We start from the raw sequence: 24,114 nt of genomic DNA, 5'->3' as shown, positions 1-24,114 counted from the left end.
TTTAGTAGAGATGGGGTTTCTCCATGTTGGTCAGGCTGGTCTTGAACTCTCGACCTCAGGTGATCCACCCGCCTCAGCCTCCCAAAGTGCTGGGATTACAGGCGTGAACCACAGCGCCCAGCCTATATTTCTAAATTCAAAGAAACAAAGGCCGGGCGTGGTGACTCGCGCCTGTTGGGAGGCTGAGGCGGGCGGATCACCTGAGGTCGGGATTTCAAGACCAGCCTGACCAACGTGGAGAAACCTTGTCTCTACTAAAAATACAAAATTAGCTGTGCGTCGTGGCGCATGCCTGTAATCCCAGCTACTCGGGAGGCTGAGGCAGGAGAATCACTTGAACCTGGGAGGCGGAGGTTGTGGTTAGCCGAGATCACGCTGTTGAACTAAAGCCTGGGCAACAAGAGTGAAACTCCATCTCAAAAAAATAAATAAATAAAAATAAATTCAAAGAAACAAGAAAGAAATAAGGCAGAAATAAATAAAATAGAGAACAAAAGATAACAGTGAAAATTAAGCAAACCAAAGCAGATTCTTTGAAAAGACCAATAAAAGAGACAGACTTCTGACCAGTGATCAAGAAAAAAACAAAAAGAAAATTAAAAAACCAAGATATAGGCCAGGCACGGTGGCGAAACTCTGTCAAAACAAAAAAACAAAAAAACAAAACAAAAAACAAGATATAGAATGATAAGGGGGGCAATAACTAGGGAAAAACAGATTTTTTTTTTTTTTTTGAGATGGAGTTTCGCTCTTGTTGCCCAGGCTGGAGTGCAATGGCACGATCTCAGCTCACCGCAACCTCCGCCTCCAGGGTTCAAGTGATTCTCCTGCCTCAGCCTCCCGAGTAGCTGGGATTACAGGCATGTGCCACCATGTCTGGCTAATTTTGTATTTTTTTTTTAGTAGAGACGGGCTTTCTCCATGTTGGTTAGGCTGGTCTCGAACTCCCAGCCTCGGGTGATCTGCTCGCCTCAGCCTCCCAAAGTGCCGGGATTACAGGCGTGAGCCACTGATCAGCCTCCCAAAGTGCTGGGATTACAGGCGTGAGCCACTGAGCCTGACCAGAAAAATAGATTTTTTAACAGTGAAGAATTATGAATGACATGCCAATGAATTAAAAAACCTAGATGAAAATAAATGATACATTCTTAGAAAAATACACCATGCTAAAAATGGCACAAATAGAAAGGCCTTGAATAGTCCAGTAAGTATTAAAGAAGTAAAAATGGTAGTCAAAGAACTGTTCTCTCTCAAAACCCCAGTGGGTTTTGTAGGTGAGCTGCAGCAAACCTTCAAGGTATAGTTAATTCCAATCATATGCACAATAACAAAAGTAAAACCTATTTATTCCACTTTTTGAGGTTAGTATAACCTAAATTATAAAACTGGATGGGAGAACCCAAGAAAAGAAAATCCTAGGGCCACTTAGAATGTTATGGTTCAACATCAACAGTATACTAATGTGGCCAGGTGCAGTGGCTCATGTTTATAATCCCAACAATTTGGAAGGCTGAAGCAGGAGGATTGCTGGAGCCCAGGAGTTTGAGACCAGCCTGGGCAACATAGTGAGATGTCTCTACTAAAAATACAAAATTAGCCGGGTGTGGTGGCACATGCCTGTAATCCTAGCTACTCGGGAGGCTGAGCCAGGAGAATTGTTTGAACCTAGGAGAGGGAGGTTGCGGTAAGCCGAGATTGTGCCATTGCACTCCAGCCTGGGCAACAAGAGCAAAACTCCATCTCAAAGACAAACAAACAAACAAACAAACAAAATATATATATATATATATATATATATATATATATATATGCCGGGCGTGGTAGATCTTGCCTGTAATCCCAGCTACTCGGGAGGCTGAGCCTCAAGCCCAGGAGTCTGAGGCTGCAGTGAGCCATGATCACGCCACTGCACTCCAGCCTGAGTGACAGAGTGAGACCCTGCCTAAAAATGAAAAAAAAAAAAAAAAGCCGGGAACGGTGGTTCACGCCTGTAATCCCAGCACTTTGGGAGGCCGAGGCAGGCAGGTCACCTGAGGTGAGGAGTTCAAGACCAGCCTGGCCAACATGGTGAAACCCCATCTCTAGTAAAAATACAAAATCAGCCAGGCGTGGTAGTTTACACCTGTAGTCCTAGCTACTCGGGAGGCTGAGGCAGGAGAACCGCTTGAACCCAGGAGGTGGAGGTTGCAGTGAGCTGAGATCGCATCATTGCACTCCAGCCTGGGCGACAAGAGCAAAGACTCCGTCTCAAACAAACAAACAAACAAAAAGAAACAAACTCTCTGTTGCTGATGGTGGGTGAAAACAGAGTTTTAGGGAATTGGGATGTCCTGAGACAGAGAAATAGTGTTGGTTAGGTCAACCCCAAAGAAGCCTGAACTGGATTCACAGAGAGGATGATGGTGGATTCAGAAGTCTGGGATGAACAGGGGTGACATATGTTCGCTAATGTGGTGTGGGTCCTGATCATGATGACAGACCCATCTGCTCTCAGACATAAATTTTGCTGACTTTCTTACCAGGAGGATAGGGCTGTTGTATAGACTGTGGTTGGCATTAAGACACCCAGTTTGAGGAGGACATTGATGATAGGCTCATTTCCCTCTTCTGCCAGTATGGAAAGTGGACACTAGGGCTAGAAGATGGCAACAGGTGCTGTGTGATTTTGATTTTAATGGGAGCATCCTAAGCAGCTGCCCTCCCTTGTTAAAGTCAGCTGTCCACAAGTTGGCTGGGACTTCTGCAAGGGCTCAACTCATAAAGACAGTTATTGTGGGTCAGACCCAGGTGATACAAATGGCATGGGGAGGTCTGGTTATACTCCAACTGGCCTGCAGCGCATTACTATGTTTAGTTTGCAAGGAACATGTCTACCTGATATGTCAGTAGACGTACAAGGTTAGGCAGGAAGGCACATACCTCAATGAAGCATCCTATGGTAACAGAAAGCCATTTCATACAATAAGAGCTAACTAACATGATCTCAACTAAAACTGCAGCCCACAGCAGATCTGGCAAGGCAACCTGAGTGCAGAGACAAGGCAGAATTCGTGACCTCAGTGTTGAGGGGAAATGTCCATTTGTCCATCAGTGGAGATAGGGACACTAGGACTGGGGGACAAAAGGAGGGAGAGTGTGGCTAGGGGTGATCCAAGCAGACTCAATATAACCCCCACGATTCTTTTCTAGTCTAAGGATGGCTGAGGTTAAATCAAGCACACATTTTTCCAACAGCCAGGTTTTTGTTTGTGTTGAAGCTACAGAGGCAATTTCCAAGACATGGTTCAACATGGGACTGTACTTCCAAGGTATGAAGGTTTGGTCTTTTGCTCTTGTAGGGACATGAGTTCAGCCCCCTGCTTTCTCCACTAGCTTTTGAGTTTTACTGTGAAATGGGCTAATGAACCGAGGGATGCATCTGAATCCTTTAGGAATGCTGGGAAGCAATCCCGACAAAACTTTGGAGAAATGACCAACTTTTGAAGGAGCTTTCAAAATCCTTCACCTCAGAAAACTCTCTGTTGCAATGATTTACTTGATTATAATAATCTTTTGAGTACTCAGGTGATTTAAGTTTGTACCTGTTGGTTTGGATCAATCAGATTTATTAGGGACCAGTTTCTTGATCACGCTCAGTATTTATTTTTCCTTTGAATCTCAGGTGCAGGTGGAGGAAGCTATACTCCACTGGTCATGTTACATTATTATCTTTGATCAGTAAAATGCTTACCTTTTTATTTACTTATTCATTTATTGACTCCACTTTACCTTCATTCCTCACTCCCGTTTCCAACACCCACCCCCTCATAGGCAGATATTCCAATGTGATTATTGTCATTCTCTTTTATTCTATGTGTTCTGATAAATGCAAATGTTATCGGGTTTGAAATCTCTTTGTGTTCCTTTCAAACTTTTAAATGTATTCAACATAGAGAAAAGTTTTGAAAACTTCCATGTACAGTTGAAAGACATGTAAGAAGACACCCATCTACCCACCAGCTGGCTTAAGAACTAGAACATTATAGAGTTTGAGAAGCCAACTGTGGATCCCTCATCTCCTTCCCCTGCCCAGAAGAAACCACTACCTTGACCTTTATGTTCTCATTTCCTCGATTTTTGCGGAAAAATTTTTTTTTTTTTTGAGACAGAGTTTCACTTTTGTTGCCCAGGCTGGAGTGCAGTGGCACGATCTCAGCTCATTGCAACCCCCACCTCCTGGGTTCAAGTGATTCTCCTGCCTCAGTCTCCCGAGCAGCTGACATTACAGGCACATGCCACCACGTCCGGCTAATTTTTGTATTTTTAGTAGATACGGGATTTCTCCATGTTGGCCAGGCTGGTCTCGAACTCCTGACCTCAGGTGATCCACTCACCTCGGCCTCCCAAAGTGCTGGGATTATAGGCGTGAGTCACTGTGCCTGGCCTGCTTTTGAGAAAATTTCACCTCCCATGTATGTATCACTGAACAAGGTATTGTTTTGTTTTGCTGGTTATGGAAGCTAAGCTGGTTATGGAAGGAGCAGTATTGCTACAATTAGGTGAAGAGTTCCAGGAGAGGATAAGCTGGAGAGAATCTCTCAGTCATAGTGAGTCTGGCTTCAGTTTCCCTAAGAGTTTACAAGAGCTGCTTCTGGGGAAGTCAGAGGGTACGGTTATAAATGAGGCCAGGAAAATACACCCATGTCTCAGCATAGTCAGGGCACTGGCAGGGCTGTTATGTGGACCAGAAATTAGTTACCATATGGTCTGGTTACCATATGGTTTGACAGGGAATGGGCCGCTCTAACTCTTCACTTCCAAACTCTGTGACCAGCCCCCACCCTCAATAGTAGATCACAGCAGGCAACTTCTGTGTGGTGAAATGCATGTCCACACCTGCTCCAGGCAGCTGCAGTGCTGGTGAGAGGGTGTGCAGGAGCCGCACCAGCACATACTCAAAACCAGCCAAGTACAGACCGTCTGCGCCAGGCTCACCTGGGCATTCTGGCCTCAGGTTAGCAGAGTGTAGGTGTGGCTGTTTCCTCCTCAGTGAAGAGCAGACTCTAAAGGATGATGCCATGGGGAGTGGGTGACTAGGCCAAGGGAACAGACACTTTCTGCTTGTTTTTTCTCCTCCCCCTTTCTTTCTTTTTTTTTTTTGACAAGGTCTCACTCTGTCACCCAGGCTGGAGTGCAGCGGTACAATCTCGGTTCACTGCAGTCTCAGACTCCTGGGCTCAAGCAATCCTCCCACCTCAGCCTCTCTGGTAGCTGGGACCACAGGCACACACCACCACATTTGGCTAATTTTGTATTTCTTGTAGAGATGAGGACTCACTATGTTGCTCGGGCTGGAACTGAACTCCTAGGCTCAAGCAATCTTCCCGCCTCGGCCTTTCGAAGTGCTGGGATTACAGGTGTGAGCCACCGTGACTGGCAATTCCACCGCTTTCTTGTTTTATGTATTCCCTGTCATCCATGCTCCCATTCCTCCCGACTCCCCGACACAGGCATTTTTCAAATGTGTTTAACTTACATCCTTTTGTGTGCATTTCTGTAAGGTGTGTATTTGGTGTATATGTGCATATATTTGTAACTTGTGAGTAGTATTGTTATACAGTTCATTCTTTTTCACTCAGTGCTACGTGTTGAAGATCATCGTGTTGCCCTGTGTACATCTAACTCACTGGTCTAAAGGTTAAGAGGTCCTCTGTGGAGTGCACCCATCACTATTTCCCTGTGTATGCCCCTGGTGATGGACACCCAGCATGCCTTCAACTTCCCACTGTTGCAAACTACACCATAATGCACATTCTTCTACATGACCCTTTATGGACCTGTATGAGAATTTCTTTGGAGGGCCCATGGGGATAGTGCCACATTCATCTCTGGGATGGCGGCCAAAGTCCCCAATCCCAATGCAAGAGGGTCCCTATGCCCCCATATCCCCACTAAAGGACTTGGCATGATCCAGCTTTTTAAAATTTTGTCTGTTTGTGAAACCTAAAGTAAAATCTCACTGTAGTTTTATTTTAGACTTTTCTGTTAATACATCTGAACATCTTTTATTAGGCCTGTTAGCTTTTTGGGTTTTCCACTTCAGGAAATTGCTTGTTCATATTCTTTGTAGACCTGTTTGCAACTGGAGGCCCTGTCACTGTTTTTCCTCTCTACATGTGCTCCACTGATAGTCCTAATCCTGTGGGAAAGCTGAACCCTACCCAGGGTTTCTACACACTGTACCAGGCTCTGTAGTGCCTTTCCATATGAATTTTAGGATCAGTTTGTAAATTTCGGCAAAAAGCCTGCTGAGATTTTTATAGGAATTACATTTAATCTATGGATCAATTTGGGGAGAATTGACATCATAACAATACTAAGTTTTCCAACCTATGAATGTTTTTCATTGATTTGGCTCCTCTTTCTCTCAGCAATACAAGTGTATAGGTCTTCCACATCTTTTGTCAGATTTATTCCTAAGTCATATTTTTAGATGTTATTGTAAATGGTATTTTAAAACTTTCTGTATCCAATTGTTCATTGCTAGTATATAGATATACAACTAATTTTTGTATATTGATCTTATAACCTGCAACTTGTTAGACTCACTTATTAGTTCTAGTAGGGTTTTATTTTTGGTGGACTCAGTTGGATTTTCTATATAGATGATCACATTTTCTGTAAATACAGTTTTACTTCTTCCTTTCCAATTTGGATGCCTTTTGCTTCTTTTTCTTGCCTGACTGCACTGCCTAGAACCTTCAGTATAATGCTGAATAGAAGTGGTGAGAGTGGACATCTCTGTTTGATTTCTGATCTTGTGGGGGAAAGCACTCAGTTTTCACCACTAAATATAATGTTAGCTGTGGGTTATTTTGCAGATGCCCTATATCAGGTTGAAGAAGTTCCCTTCTACTTCTAGTTTGCCAAGAGGTTTTTGTTTTTTAAACTCAGGAATGGATGTTAGATGTTGTCAAATGCTTTTTCTGCATTTATTGCAATAATCATATGGGTTTTCCTTTTTGGTTTGTTAATATGTTGAACTGCATGATTGATTTTCTAATGCCAAGCCAATCCTGCATTCCTGGGATAAAATCCATTTTGTTATGATTCATTATCCTTTTAATACATTATTGGATTTGATTTGATAAAGTTTTGTTTATAATTTTTGTATCTCTTGAACTTTCCATTTTAATACTAATGGCTCCTCAAATTGGCCTCCCCACCACGCGCCTGTTTTCCACATGACCCACTCTGCCTGTTCATATCCTCTAGACTGTGTCTGGGATGGTTACTGAGGTGGTTACTGAGGCTGGGACTTTCCCCAAACTTACGGAGGGTCAAAGAAAATTTAGAACAAAGACTTGAAAGCATTTTTTTTGTGTGGTCAATCCTACCTCTGAGTATGTGAATCAACTCCTGGCAGCAGTCTTGCCCCTTAATAAAGGTGTGTCCCCAACCTGAAGAGCCATCTTCAAAGCCTCTCAGTACCTGACAGGTTAGTTCCTAAGAGAAAAAGCATTATTAACTGCTTAAGAAATCCCCTGACCCTAGATTATCCCTCTGTCACTGTTCCCCCATATGGTACTGCTCTGCTCCAAAAAGGAAATATCCAATACTTCCCACTGAAGAATTCTATCCCATTCTGACTGCCTACTTGATATCCCACACTCTAAGATGCCCAAATAACACCTTCAAATTCCTGACCCTGTGTTTTTTGTGGATGGCTTTTATATCCAAGATATTAGGGGAACACACAGGGCAGGATATACTCCTTTCCCCATTGCAGCATAGAAGCTCTTCTTCCTTCAATCCCCTCGTCGCAAAAGTAATAATGGTAGTAACAGCAAACACATATACAGTGCTTACTACATGCCATGTATTATTCTAAATACTTTATGTAGATTAACTCATTTAATACCCTCAATAATCCTATGAAGTGCATATTACTACTATCCCCAGTTTTGTTTTATTTATTTTTAAGGGGGCTTTCAGCAAAAACCAGAATGCCTGCTAGACAAATTCTAAAACAGCTGTAACACTACTATCCCCATTTTTACGAAGAAACTACAGAAAATTGAGGTCAAGTGACTTGACCAGCTCTGGGATTTGAATCCAGGCAGTCTGTCTCAAGTCCACTGCACTACCATACTCGCAAGTGACAGAACTGTGGCACTGACCCATGTTTGCACACAGTAGAGGGCCCCCCTGGCCCACTATTCATACAAATTCTTTCTAAGGCTTCAGAATATGTCATGCCTGTGTTATCTGTGGTGCCTTTGGCCAAATCTGGTGTCAGTGAGTTTCTCACTACTGCTGACAACGAAATATATATGTTTGGAAACAAAAATTATGTAGGGTCAGGCGCGGTGGCTCACGCCTGTAATCCCAGCACTTTGGGAGGCCAAGGTGTATGGATCACTTCAGGCCCGGAGCTTGAGACCAGCCTGACCGACATGGTGAAATCCTGTCTCTACTAAAAATACAAAAATTATCCGTGTGTGACGGTGGGCACCTGTAATCCCAGCTACTTGGGAGGCTGAGGCAGAAGAATCACTTAAACCCAGGAGGCGAAGGTTGAAGTGAGATGAGATCGCGCCACTGCACTCCAGCCTGGGTGACAGAGTGAGCCTCTGTCTCAGTAAATAAATAAATAAATAAATAAATAAATAAATTTGTAAGGAGAACACTTTTTAAAAAGACATTATTATTTAATGTCATCAGAGCGACAAGAAGAAAACACTGCATTCATAGGGAAAGATTAGGAAGCTATAAAAAGGAACATTTGCAAGACAACACCAACTAAAAAGATCTTATAGAGTCAAGCAATAATTAAAGGACCTTCAAAGCAGCCAGAGAAAAAGAACACCTACGAAAAAAATTAGAGTGACAGTAGACTTTGCAACAGTAATAATAGAAACCAGACGAGTGTCCTAATGTCCTCTTAGTGTCAGTGTTTAATATCCTTCTAAAAAAGGCAATTTAGAAGTAGGTACCTAGCAAACCTATCTTTTAAGAAGAATAAAGGGAAAAAAAGGCATTTATAGATAAACACAGACTAAGAGTTTCCAATTAAGTGATCTATGCTAAAGGATTTTCTAAAGTTCTGTATGTATTTCAAGAAGAAGAAAAATCAGGCTGGGCGCAGTGGCTCATGCCTGTTATCCCAGCACTTTGGGAGGTCAAGGCAGGCGGATCACGAGGTCAGGAGATCGAGACCATCCTGGCTAACACAGTGAAACCCCGTCTCTACTAAACACACACACACACACACACACACACACACACAAATAGCCAGGCATGGTGACAGGCGCCTGTAGTCCCAGCTACTTGGGAGGCGGAGGCAGGAGAATGGTGTGAACCCAGGAGGCAGAGCTTGCAGTGAGCCCAGATAGCGCCACTGCACTCCAGCCTGGGTGACAGAGTGAGACTCCATCTCAAAAAAAAAAAAAAAAAAAAGAAGAAGAAGAAAAATCATCCCAAAAACGACATCTGAGGTAAAAGAAGAAAGATGGGCAAATAAAAGGTAAATGAGTATTTAAGCAAACAATGTTTGCATAAAATGATATTGTTAGTGTCATCCTTAATAAGGGAGGAACAAAAATAGTAGACATAATAACATGTAAATTGGGAGACATTAAAGATTTATAAAGTCTGAATTCTTTGGGTGGGGAGTATGTTTAACTTTGGACTTTAGGTTAAATATGTATGGTAAGCTTTCAAGGCCAATCGCTAAAAAAAAATCTTTGGAGAGACTAACAAGAAAAAATAGAAAAGGCACAAATAATATGAACAACATAAAAGATATAGTAAAAATTTAAAAATAAGAGAATATAATTAATTTGAAAACTTACATGAATTGGACCAATTCCTAGAAAACTGATTTATTTATTGGATAAGATCACTATAACCTTAACCAGACAAATACAGATGGCTAAAGATGCAAAAATCCTAAACAGTTTATTAGCAAACCACATCCAGAATGAGTAAGATTTAATACAACACAAAAATGTTGAGTTTAATCCCAGAAATGCAAGAGCAGTTTAACATTAGAAAGTTAAACTAAATCTTTTAAGATTTAGTTCATATGCCATCTCTTCCAAGAAAGCTTCCTTGGTCCCCTGAGCTGGGTTGTGTATTCCTTAGGGGCTCTCACAGTCTATTCTTCCTACCAGTGTTACTGCACTGACCACACTGCCCTGAAATTACGGTTCTGTGTCTAGGAACACACCTCGTTCATCTCTGTGTCTTCAGTGTACAGCAGGAGGCCTGACACACAGTAAGTGGTCAAATTTTGCTCAACTGAACTTATAGATGGCATTCTGTATAATTCTGATGGCATGCTGATGAAATTAGTGGGTGACCAAAACAGGAGAGTAGGTCACACATTAGACAACAGAATTAGTATCCGGAGTCATGGGCAGGCAGAAACACTGGAGCCAGACTAGGCCCCAGTAGGGTTAGGGGCAAAGTCAGGACTAAAACCCCACACAGCCTGTTCTCACTTTGACAATGAAATAAACTCTTTTTGAGCTGTAACTTACCCTCCTATGGGTATCTCCCATTATAATAACACTTACTATGAGCCCAGCATCATGCCAGCTTCCACGCTATCCCCTGCAGCCCCCCTACCACCACCAAGTACCACAGGTAAAGTATAATGAGAGTGGTCTGCTTGGCCTGGGGACCAGGAAACAGTTCCTCACCGTGCAAGAGAAAGGGGGATGATAGCTGGGATCAGAAAGCCCAATGAGAGTTGGGGTTTTGTTTTTCACCAGGTAACAGGCAGCACGACAACACAGCAGTTTGAGGGCTATTTGAGTAAGAGGCAGGCCTGCCTTCAGGAGCCCTAGGGCGTACAGCCAGTCAGAAAATATGGGGCTTTGCCACAACCCTACCAACTGAGAACTTGCTTCCCAAAAGAACCCAGGAGCTATCCTCACTGCTTCTTCACAGCCCCCACCCTTATGAAAAATGATATCCAAGTTCCTTAGCATGGCATTAAAGGCCTTTGTGCCTAGCCTACTCCTCAAGGCCTTTATTTCTCTATCCTCCACATTAATCAATTAAGTCATTCATCCATTCATTCAGTTTATTCCACAAATATTTATTGAGTATCTACTATGCACTGTTGTTTTTGGCACTGGGGATACAGCAGTGAACAAAACAGAAGTCCCTGCTTTATGGAGCTTACAGTCTACTGAAGAGAGACGAACACTAACCACAATAAATAAATATAAAATATACCAGGTGGTGATCAGTGCTTTGTAGAAAAACATACATAAAATAGGATAAAGGGATATAAAATGCATGTGATGGGGCGATTTTAGATATGTTGATCAGGAAACACTTCTCTAGGGAGGTGACATTTGAGCACACTGGAAGTACTAGGGCAACTCATCAGATTATTTAGGAGGAAGGGTGTTTCAGGCAGTGAGAAGAACAAGTACAAAGGCCCTGAAAAGGAAGGGTATCTAGCACACTTGGGGAACAGCAAGGAGGCCAGTGTAGCTGGAGAAGAGTGAGTGATATTGAGAGTGATAGGAGACAAGGTAAGAGAGGTAAAGGGAACCAGATTATGTAGGGACTTTGGGCCATGGTGAGGGCTTTGGCTTTTGTTGAGGGAGGTGGGAGCCATGGGAGAATTCTGAATAGTGGAAGGACATGATCTGATTTGGATTGTATAAAGAATTTCAGAGAAGAATAGTATAGGTACTAGAACACTAAGCAAAAGAAAACAAAATACACAATTATTAGCTCCAAGGAAAACGAAAGGGTATACAACGAAGGATATGTAATCAGAATATACTATGTAGTTTTGATGTGAACAATATTTACAATGTCATACTCATGCAAACAGTGACTACTGGTTGAACAAAAATTATATAAAATGTTTTAAAGAAGTAATAACAGATGTAATCACTAAGATGACCAAGCAATAAGAGACTATTAGGGATGACTAGGCAGATTAGCAAGTAAAATATATGAGGTTTGTACAAATGAAAAATATAACTTTTGAAATAAAAAACTCAATGGGCAGATTAGAGCAGATTAAACATAGTTGAAAAGAGAATCAGTAAGCTGAAAGATATACCTAAAGAAATTATCCAGAATGAAGTGCAGAAAGACAAGGAGATAGAAAATCTCAGAGATGTTATGAGATACGGAAGATAGAATGAGGAGGTCCAAAATATGACTAACTGTATTCCAAGAAAGAAAAACTAGAAAAAATGAAAGGCAATATTTGAAGAGATAATGGTTGAGAATTTCCCAGAAATTATGAAAAGCATGAATTCACTGAGCCACGAAGCATGACATTCCCAAAGTAGAATTAAAAAAAAATACATATGTAAACATGTTAGAGTAAAACTGCAGGACCCCCTGCACATTCCACTACTACTACTACCACTACTACCACTACTACTACTACTACTACACACACACACAAAACCAGCAATTAGTCTGATAGTCGACTTCTTAATAGCAACAGACATCTCAAAGCCAAAAGAGAATGGAACCATATATTCTAAGTGTTGAGTAAAAATACCTGTAACAAACTATCTTTTAAGAATGAGGATAAAATAAAGACATTTACATATAAGAAAGACTGGAAGAATTTAACATCAAGAGACCTGTACTAAAAAAAAAAAAAACTCACTTAAACACTATATTCATAATGAAAGAAAATGATCCCAAAGGATGATGTGTGATACAAGAATGTATGCATGTAAGTCCAAACAAACACTGTCTATATAAAATAACACTGACAATGATGTAAAATTGTGAGGTTTATAAAAAGGAACAAACTAACATATTTGAAAACAACAGTATGTGATCAGGAGAGGAATGACTAGAGTTGAAGGTTTCTAAGCTTCCTGCATTCTTTAAGAAGGGGGCTAAAATATTGTTTAACTTTAGACTTTATAAGTTAAACACATATGGAAAACATCAAGGATAACCACAGAAAGAATAGAAAAAAATTTAAAAATAGGGAGGAAAAAAATTGAATAAGAAAACAAATCTCAAAACTAAAAAAGCAGGCGAGAAAAGAGAAAATGAAGCACAGAAAAGGTAGTGATGGTAAACAGAAATAAAAAAGTATGATGGTAGAAACAAGCCCAAATACATCACAGTAAATGTAAACAGACTAAACTTGCCAACCAAAAGAGATAATCAGATTAGATTTTTTAAAAGGTCCAGTTATATGTTGTTTCCAAGAGATATAATTAAACATAATGGCATGAAAATGCTCAAAAGTAAAAGGATGGAAAATTATATACCACACAAATCCCAACAAGAAAAGTTTGTGTTACTACATTAATATAAGATAAAATAGGTTTCAAAGAAAAATGCATTATCAGGAATAGAGAGGGTCATTACATATTTATCAGGAATATATAACAATTTTTAATTTGAATATTCCTAATGAACACCCTCAAAATATATAAAGCAAGAAACGAGATAGAATTACAAGGAGAAATTGCCAAATCCACCATTACAGTTGAACATTAACGCACCTCTTTCAATTATCAGTAGATAATGACCAAAAAAATCAGTATAGGTAAGTAAAAATTGAACAATAGTTCACAAACTTGATAATAGACATATGTAGATCTCTGTATTCAACAATTAGAGAACACACATTCTTATAAATTAGCACACAGGAAGCATTCAAAAATATTGGTCACATACTAAGCCATAAAACAAGTCTAAAAAATTTCAGAGTTGTTGTCACACAAACCACATCCTCTGACCATAATGCAATTAAGACAGATTTCAATAACAAAGAGATAAAATTTTAAATCCCCAAACATTTGGAAATCTAAAAACACATTTCTATATAACTTACAGGTCAAAGAAGTAACCTTGATAGAAATGAAGTACTTATAACTGAGCAATAATGAAAATACTACATATCTAAACTTATGGAGAAGCAGGAGTTAGAGGGAAATTATATCCTTAAATGCACAAATTAGAAAATGGGAAAGAATGAAAACTAATGAGCTCAATGTCCAGTTAAATTAGAAAAAGAACAACAGAATAAACCCAAAAAATGTGGAAGGAAGGAGATCAAAAAAGATAAGAGCAGAAATTAAAGAAATAGAAAACAAAGATACAATAGAGAGGAGCAACAAAGCCAAAAGTTGGTTCTTTGAAAAGACTAATAAAATAGATAAACCTCTGGTGAGATTGATCAAGAAAAAAAGTGAGAAGGCACAAATAACCAATATCAGTAATGAAAAAGGAGACATTGTTACAGTTCATACACAGCACAGAATAAAAAGGAAACTTTATGCCAATGAATTTGAAAATGCAGACAAAATGGACCAACTCCTAGAAAACTGTTATCTTACCAAAATCGACTCAAGAAGAAAAAGAAATCCTCAACAGTTCCATAGCTACTAAAGGAGTTACAGCAGTAGTTAAAACTCTTCCCGCCAAAACAAACAAACAAACAAAAAATAGCAGGCAGATTCTTCCACTTGGTATGTGGATTACAGGCAGGTGAAGAGATACTGATCCCCTCAGCCCTAGAGGTGTCCGGGTAGGACCTGAGGAAGTGGAGACCCTAGGCAGGCCACTTCTCTCTATGGGCAGCCTCTTCTGGAGATCCTTAGAGGGTGGCCCTTAGTGAAGTAGGGTCTGACAAATCTCTCTGCAGTCCCTGAAGGTGGTGAGCACAAATAAGTAGCATCCAGCTCTGCAGTAAATGTGCTAAGCAGGGCCAAGAAGGTGCTCTATTACTTGGACAGCCTCTTCAGTAGCCAGCTCCTGTAGTCTTCTGCTCATTGAGGACAAGGGACCTGTGGAGCTGCTGGAGGAGTCTGTGTTCCAGTTTCCAAGAAACACCACGCACAGCCCAAGATGTGACTGGTTGGGATGGGACTGGGTGCAGGGAGGCCAAGGAGGGGCTTCCTGAGGGTGTAGCTCCAGGTAGAAACCCTGAAACTCTGTCTTCCCGAGTATCAGATACTTTAATCCGTTTGCAGCTGATGAGCCCTTTTAATGGTATCCAAGCTAGCTGCAGGGTGATGGTTCTAATAATGATGCATGTTCTGCAAATAAGAGCTTCATCATTATTTTGAAATTGTTAATATGAAAGCGTTCAACTGGATTTGAAATCTACTCACATCATCATGAGAAGTTTTAACAATATACTTGTCAGTGAAACAAAAAGAAAAGCTGTTAGATATAATTCCAATTGTTAAATATCTTTGAAACATTTAAAAATTGGCTTTAAATATTTTATCACCTACTTGTACAAAAAAAGACATTTATGGATGGCGACTGTTAAGAATTTGAAGAATGCATCATTAAAAAGTCTTGCTCAGAAAAAAAAAAAAAAGTCTTGCTCAGGATTTGTGTGTAGCCATTTCAAGCATAAAGCTTATAAAATAAACATGGAAGCAAATTTCAACCTTCTTATTTACAATTTTGAAAATATTTTAATTTATAAGTTTAACACTAATTCAATATTAAAAAGGAAAACACTAGACAAGATGGTTTTGCAGAAGTTCTACCAAACCAATCATTCCAAACTTATACAGCATCTTCCAGAATATTATAAAAGAGGGAACACTCTGAGTCATTCTATACCAGCAGAACCTTACTGCCAAAAGCCAATAAGAACAGCCTGAGAAAGGAAAAGACCAATTTTACTCATGGACACAGTTGCAAAATTCCAAACTTTTGTTCACCAACCTGTATAAAAAATGAAAGACCATGACCAAGTTGTGTTTATACAAGAAATGCAAAGATGGTCTAACATGAGGAAAATCTATAAATGTCATTTACCACATATCAGATTATTGGAGAAAAAACATATAATTATCATAAGAAACAGAAAAGGCATTTGGTAAAAATTCAACACCCTTTCATTATTAAAAAAATAAAAGCCTCTTAGTATAGAGTAATAGGATGGAACTTGCTTAACCTGATAAAACCCGTAGGAAATCTATAGCAAATACAGTATCATTCTTAATAGGGAAAAGTTAGTGGTGTTTCCTCTAAAATACACAACAAGACACAGATGCATGCTGTCATCATTGTACTAGATGTCCTGGTCATCTCAGTACGACAAGAAAAATAAAGGCATAAAGATTGGAAAGGAAAAGACAAAACTGTCATTATTTATAGCTGATATGGTTGTCACCATAGAAAACATAAAAGAATATACAGACACCTTAAAAGGAACCAGGGTTCCTTGGAGAAATGGCTGATTCCAGGACTAAGAGAGGAAAATACAAGACGAGTCTGGAGCATTTCCTAGTGCTGGCAAGTAAAGCAGTGCTCAAAACCAAAGGATGGGAGCATGTGAAAGGGACACAGGAGCCAACTGGCAAGAGTCCCCAGTGGCCAAAACTGGACTGATTTGACCAACAAAACAAAGAACACAGTATTAGATTTATAACTCAAATTATTAAATAAAAATGCATGAGTTCATACTGATATAAGTGACTGAATAAATAAATAAGGGATAAGAGACAAATCTTTACAGAAGAATTTCAAATGATATACAGAGATACACCCTCTCCTTCCAGGAGCTATAGCTCAATTCTTCCCACCTACTTGAGGGTGGGCTAGAGTCTTCCAAAGAACAGACTATGAAAAGGGAAAGGCAGCAACTTGCCAGGGGGAAAACCTGGCAAACATCACCTTAACCAAGGGATGAAGGTTCACAAAACCAGGGATGCCAATGGATACCAGGTACCTCTGATATGATCTGATAAGAAAGGCATTTAAACTCTGGTGTTCTTTCCAAAAACAACTCCACTCTAAATATAAGCAAAACTTCAGACAAATACAAACTGAGGAACATTCAACAGTATTCCTTAAAACTGTTAGGTCATAAAAAACAAGGTCATTCTCGGCTTAATGGACTTCTGGGAAAAAAAAACCAAAAACAAACAAACAAAAAAAAAAAACAAGAACAGACTGAGAAACTGTCATAGACCAGAGGACACTATGGAGACACGACAACTGAATGAAATGCGATATTTTGAATTGGATCCTGGAACAAAAAAAGGACACCAGTGAAAAAAACTGATAAAGCCATGTAAAGTCTGATGTTTAGGTAGTAGTAATATAGCAATGTTGCTTTCTTATTTTTGATAAATGTACTACAGTGAGGAATATACAGAAACTCTCTGTACTATCTCTTAACTAACTTTTCTGTAAATCTAAAACTATTCCAGAATAAAAACCTATTTAAAAATAAGTTTAGGGCCGGGCATGGTGGCTCACTCCTATAATCCCAGCACTTTGGGAGGCCGAGGCAGGCAGATCACCTGAGGTCAGGAGTTCGAGAGACCAGCCTGGCCAACATGGTGAAACCCCGTCTTTACTAAAAATACAAAAACTACCTGGGCATGGTGGTGGGAGCCTGTAATCCCAACTACTCAGGAGGCTGAGGCAGGAGAATTGCTTGAACCTGGGAGGTGGGGGTGGCAGTGAGCCGAGATGGCGCCACTGCACTCCAGACTAGGAGACAGAGCGAGACTCCATCTCAAAAAACAAAAACAAACAAAAAAAAACAACACCTTGGGAGGCTGAAGCGGGTGGATCATTTGAGGTCAGGAGTTCAAGATCAGCCTGGCCAACATGGTGAAACCCCATCTCTACTAAAAATACAAAAAATTAGCTGAGCGTGGTGGCACACGCTTGTAATCCCAGCTACTGGGAAGGCTGAGTAGGAGAATTGCTTGAACCTGGGAGGCGGAGGTTGCAGTGAGCCGAGATCACGCCACTGCACTCCAGCCTGGGCAACTGAGCGAGATGCGAACTCAAAAATAAATAAATAATAAATAAATAAAATAAATAATAAAAAGTGTAATAAGGCAAATGGTTATAATACTAATATACAAAAGCCAACTTCATTTCTATATACCTGCAAAAGAGATAAAAAATACAATAAAAGATCCCACTTATAATAGCAGAAAACCCATAAAGTACCAATAAATAAATCGAACACAAGATATGTAGACCTTATGCAGAAAAACATAAAGCTCTGCCAGAAGACATTCAATAATTTATTTACAATAGAGAGCTATGTCAGGCTCTTAGGGAGGGAGGCTCAACACCATAAACATCAATTCTCTTCAAAATGATCTACAGATTCACTGCAATTCCAACATTTTTACAGAACATGACAAGCTGATTCTGAAATGTGTTTAAAAAAACACAAAGGGGGGCCGAGCGTGGTAACCCCCACCTGTAATCCCAGCACTTTGGGAGGCCAAGGCAGGAGGATCACTTGAGGCCAAGAGTTCGAGACCAGCTGGGGGAACATGGCGAAACCCTGTCTCTACAAAAAAATACCAACATTAGCTGGGTGTGGTGGCATGCCCCTGTAGTCCCAGCTACTTGAAAGGCTGAGGTGGGAGAACTGCTTGAGCCCTGGAGGTTGAGGCTGCAGTGAACTTACTGTACCACTGCACTCCAGCCTGCATGACACAGCAAGACCCTGTCTCAAATAACTAAATTAATACAATAAAATAACAAAGGGGGGCTGGTCAAGGTAGCTCATGCCTGTCATCTCAGCACTTTGGGAGGCCAAGGTGGGTGGATTGCTTGAGCGCAGGCGTTCGAGAACAGCCTGGTTAACATGGGGGGAACCCTGTCTCTACAAAAAATACAAAAATTAGCTGGGCATTATGGCATGATGGTAGTCTCAGCTACCCAGGAAGCTGAGGTGGGAGGACCGCTTGAGCCCAGAAGGTCAAGGCTGCTATGAGCCAAGATCACACCACTGCACTCCAGCCTGGGTGACAGAGCAAGAACCTATCTCAAAATAAATAAATAAATAAATAAAATAACAAAGGGCTAAAAATACATGATACTTCTGAAGAAAAATAAGATGGGAAGATTTTGCTTTATCAAATATCAAGATTTATTATGAAGGCAAGGTAATTAAGGCAGTGTAGTACTGGTTCAGGGACAAAAAGCTAACCAACAGCAAAGAGAGGCCAGAAACAGATCTATATGGATATGGAATGTTGATGCTCCAGCCAGAGGTGGTTTCTCAGATTATTATGTTATTCATATGGAAAATAATGAAACCAGCTCCCTACCTTATACCACACAAAAACCAATTCCATTTGGACTTAAATGTGAAAGGTAAACTTTTAAAACTTTTATTGGAAGAAAATAAAGAAAATGTTTATAACTATAGGTTAGAGAAGACAAGACAAAAAATTGCTGGCTATAATACAGAAAAGATGGATTTGTTCAACTCAAAAATAAGACTAGCCTGGGCAACAGGGAGACCCTGTCTCTACAAAAAATAAAAAATAACAATTAGCCAGGTATGGCTAATTTACAGGCATGGCACACGCCTGTAGTCCCAGCTACTCAGTAAGCTGAGGTGGGAGGATCACCTGAGCCCAGGGAGGTCAAGGCTGCAGTGAGCTGTGATCCCACCACTGCACTCCAGCCTGGGTGAAAGAGTGAGACCCCGTCTCACAAAAAAAAAAAAAAAAAAGAAAGAAAAATAAGAATTTCTACTCATGCAAAGATACCATTAAAAAAGCTTCAAAATTACAGAAGCTATTCAACACATACAACTGACCAATGATGAGGATCCACATAAAGAACACCTACAAATCAATAAAAAATGATTTAGCCAGGCATGGTGATGCACATCTATAATTCTAGCTACTTGGGAAATGGAGGTAGGAGGATCCTTTGAGCACAGGAGTTCACGACCAGTCTTGACAACGTAGTGAGAACCCATCTAAACAAAAAAGATCTTTTTTTTTTTTTTTTGAGACAGAGTCTAGTTCTGCCGCCTAGGCTCAAATGCAGTAGTGTGATCTCAGCTCACTGTAGCCACCGCCTCCCAGGCTCAAGCCATCCTCCCACCTCAGCCTCCCAAGTAGCTGGGGCCACAGGCATGCACCACCACACCCGGGTAATTTTTGTATTTTTTGTAGAGATGCGGTTTCATCATGTTGCCCAGTCTGGTCTCGAACTCCTGGGCTCAAGTGATCTGCCTTCCTTGGCCTCCCTAAGTGCTGAGATTACAGGCATGAGCCATTGTACCCAGAAAAATTTTAATGGGCTAAAGATATTAACAGTCCTTTCACAGAAGAGGAAACATGTGGCTAAGGACCATGAAAAGATGCTTGATCACATTAATGACTAAGAAAATGCTAATATGTCCCCAGTGAAATACCATTTTACACTCAGTGTAATAACAAAAAATAAGAAGGAGGACAATATCAAGTGTATGAGGATGTGGATCAACGGGATCTCATACATTTCTGAAAGTAGTGTAAATTGGTTACCACCAGTTTGGCATAATCCTGTCAAGCCGAACTTTTGGATGACCTATTAATCAACAATCACATTCCTAGGTCTATATACCTTAGAAAAATGGGTGTGCATATGTTCCAGGAGATACACCTAAGAATGCTCATGGTAGCACTGTCCATAAGAGCAAAAAGCTGGAAATGACCCAAATGTCCAACAACGGATGAATGGATAATTTGTCTTATGGTCACCCAAGGGAATATTGTAAACAAACTCTAGCTACATGTAACAACATAGGTGAATCTTAGAAACATAATATTGAATGAAAAAAGTTAAGTCTCAGAAGACCACACAGGGCCGGGCATGGTGGCTCACGCCTGTAATCCCAGCACTTTGGGAGGCCGAAGCAGGTGGATCACCTGAGGTCAGGAGTTCAAGACCAGCCTGGCCAACACGGTGAAACCCCAACTCTACTAAAAATACAAAATTAGCTGGGTGTGGTGGTGCACACCTGTAATCCCAGCTACTCGGGAGGCTGAGGCAGAAGAATCACTTGAACCCAGGAGGCGGAGGTTACAGTGAGCCGAGATCACACCATTGCACTGCACTACAGCCTGGGCGACAAGTGAAACTCCGTCTCAAAAAAAAAAAAAAAAAAAAAAAAACACACACACACACACACACAGTATGATACTATTTTTACAAGGCTCACAACTGAGTCAAATAAACAATGTATTGGTTAAGCATCCCCACAAATATGAAAAAAAATCCCATATATCAAAAAGGGCAAGTGAATGTTAAGCACAAGACTTAGCAGAGCAGGAATTTCAGGAGTGGAGTGGTGGGGAGGGTGAGGAATGGGATAGAAAATGACACACAGGTAGATGATATCATTAATGTTCTTGGGTGGGGTTGTGAGTTCTTGGGTTTTCATATTATTATACTTATAACTTGTGTATATAATGTATATATTGTTTTTTTGTTTGTTTGTTTTTTGAGATGGAATCTCGCTCTGTCCCCCAAGCTGGAGTGCAGTGGCGTGACCTTGGCTCCCTGCAACCTCCTCTTGGGTTCAAGCGATTCTCCTACCTCAGCCTTCCAAGTAGCTGGGATTACAGGCACATGCCGTCACACCCAGCTAATTTTTATATTTTTAGTAGAGACGGGATTTCACCATGTTGGCCAGGCTGGTCTTCAACTCCTGACCTCAAGTGATTCACCCGCCTCAGCCTCCCAAAGTGCTGGGATTACAGGTGTGAGCCGCCGCGCCCAGCCTATTCTTTTATCATATATCTAATATATGTTATATGAACAGCATATAGGAGAAGAGTAGAGAACGTGAGGAAGGAAAACTCTTTGAAGAGTTTTGCTGTTAGGGGAATTGAGAAATGAAGTCATAACTGCAAAGGCATGTGAGATGAAGAGGATTTAAAGTTTTTTTCAAAGACAGGAGTAATAGTAGATAGATGGAATGGCAGAGCGAGGACTTTGATGAACTCACTTTCCCTCTAAAACAATGAAAAGATGGTCAAACCAACTCAAATCAACCATTTTAGAACTCTGGCAATTAACCAAAGCCACAGAATGAAGTGAAAATCATCATCCAAAGAAACTACTGAATGTTGGCAAGACAGTGAGGTCTACGACATTTCACTTGTGGTGATCCCCATCCTCCCTCCCTAACCCTCCCTATCTCCGTGGTACAGGATCCAAAAGGTGACCAAATTCCAGACAACAGAGAAATCTGACCACTTAGAGAATTTTACAGGAAATCCTAGAGAATGAGACAACCATAGGAAACTTTGAAAAGCTCTGACATATTCCTAGGGATCTAAAGGGCTGTGCATATACTCAAGGCTATATGCACGCCAAGGAAAGAGCTGGGATAGGAGAGGATCCAAGCCACTCACTTCTGGCTGACTGCGAGGCCCTGTGCAAGTACAAAGTGAAAGCAAAGGCTGTCTCATACACTGGCTGGACTTTGAAGGCAATGCTTTCTTACGCAGATCCTCTTGGCAAGGGTTGGAAGATGTACAGGCAAGGCATTTAAGGATACATTCTGACCAATCACTGGCTGACCACCAAATTATATTTATTCACCAGGTGTGACCCCTAGGAATCCAGGCTTAAAAAGAAAAACAAGAACTGAAAAGAAAAAAGGCTGCTAGCAGGAACTCAGAGGCCACATAATGCAGGGGGAGACCAAATCCACAAAATGAGTTCAGAAAAGTCACTGAACAAACAAACAGCAACAAGAAAAAGAACTATGACAGCAACAAAAACAAAAACAGACCAACAACAAACCTTGGGAGTCCAGATGGCAGCAAGATGGCAGAGCAGGACTTTCCAGTGCTCATTCCCCAACAGAAACATCAATTTGAAAAACAATCCATACACGAAAATACTTCACCAGAGCTAAGGAAACCAGGTGAGAGTTGACAGCACCTGGGTGTAGCACGGAAATAAGAAAAGATACATTGAAGAGGGTAGGAAAAAAAGTTACACACTATCCATGCCACCCCTCCCCCAACCCCAGGCAGTGCAGTGGGAAAAGAGATACTTTTTTCAGGGAAGAGAAAGGAAGTAAGCACTGGGCTTTCCCTTGGACTCCAACACTAGGGCTGCCCCAGTCAAACCCAGCACTGGGCAGGCACCCACAGCCCAAGCCTCTAGGCTGGTACCTGCAGACCGAGCCTCCAGGCCTGCCCCAGCACCAGACCAGATTCCACTGCCTCGCACTCCAGGCCTGCCTGGCAGTCTCAGTCTCCAGACCCACCCCAGTGCCAGGCTAGCCCCCATAGACTCAGGTACCAGGCTTGTTCCAGGGCCAGGCCAGCCCAGGTGGCCGTGGGTCCCAGACCATCCCCAGCATGGGGCTGGCCCCCCCGGCCCCAGGTTTCAGGCCCACCCCAGCACCAGGCCAGCCTCCACAGCACTAGTCATTAGGCCAGCACCTGCAGACCAGCATCCAGCAAGACCTTGTGGACACAGGCTCCAGGCCCACCCAGTGCCAGGCCAGGCCATGTGGTCCCAGGCTCCAGGCCCACCTTAGGTTCCAGCCCAGCCCAGAACCAGGTTGACCTACACAGCCCTAGGCCGCAGGCCTGCCCCGACACCAGGAGAGCACTTCTAGATTCAAGTACCAGGCTGGCACACACAGACACAGACTCTAGGCCTGCCCAGTGGTGGGCTGATCTCTGTGGCCCCACCCTTCAGGCTGGTCCCTGCAGCCCCATGCTCCAACAGACCCAGGGTCCAGGCCCATCCCAGTAGATCCCAGTACTGGGCTGGGCCTAGAGAATCCAGGCTCCACACCGGCCCCAGCACCACACAGTTCCCAGGCTCCAGGGTGGTCCTCATGGCCAAAGGCTCTAGCTGACCCAGGGTTCAGGCCCACCCTAGTAAGCTTTGGTGCCAAACCAACTCCTGTGGACTGAGGCTCCAGGACCACCCTTGCAGACCCAGGATCCAGGCCAGCCCCCATGGACCCAGAACCCAGGCTTGACATGCAGATTTAGGCTTCAGGTCCACCTCAGCACCATGTCAGCCCCTGTAGACCCAGACATGAAGTTGGCTCCCGCAGATCCAGGAACCAGCTGTGCTTTTGTGGACCCAGGCTCCAGGCCCACCTTCACATACCCAATCAACAGGCCCATCTGTTTGGATCCAGGCTCCAGGCCAAACCCCATGGACCCAGACATCGGGTCCACCTACCTGCTGACCCAGACACCAGACCAGCCTGCCTGAGGACTCCAGCAGCAAGCCTGCCCACAGAACATGCCAGATGGCCAGTCCAGAATCTCTGGACAGGCTGACTGGTGAGGGGCTTTCCCAGACAAAGGCAGTCTGCAAAGACTAGAATGAGTTTTCACGTCTTCAGATGTG

The 24,114-nt window shown here is 41.9% G+C and overlaps 1 protein-coding gene and 1 pseudogene across 9 annotated transcripts in view; both read right to left on the bottom strand.

Moving 5' to 3' along the window:
- KANTR (KANTR integral membrane protein) overlaps positions 1 to 24,114 on the bottom strand; it is a 53,780-nt gene that overhangs the window by 9,418 nt on the left and 20,248 nt on the right. For 5 of the 9 annotated variants that reach the window (NM_001397450.1, NM_001397453.1, NM_001397451.1 and 2 more), the window contains one exon: positions 11,066 to 15,035. The exons of 3 other annotated variants lie outside the window; for them this stretch is intronic. In NM_001397450.1, the coding sequence (NP_001384379.1) occupies positions 14,001 to 14,231 (231 nt within the window). In that variant the 5' untranslated portion in view covers positions 14,232 to 15,035 and the 3' untranslated portion in view covers positions 11,066 to 14,000. Of the gene's footprint in view, positions 1 to 7,376; positions 7,486 to 11,065; positions 15,036 to 24,114 lie in introns of those variants that run through there. One more of the 9 variants, NR_145973.2, reaches the window with a different exon arrangement.
- Positions 7,964 to 8,022, bottom strand: RNU7-37P (RNA, U7 small nuclear 37 pseudogene; annotated as a pseudogene).

This window comes from Homo sapiens, chromosome X (assembly GCF_000001405.40).
Source record: "Homo sapiens chromosome X, GRCh38.p14 Primary Assembly".
NCBI classification, from domain to species: domain Eukaryota; kingdom Metazoa; phylum Chordata; class Mammalia; order Primates; family Hominidae; genus Homo; species Homo sapiens.
Note: the sequence above shows the minus strand (reverse complement) of the source record. Positions and strands in the feature narration are given on the sequence as shown.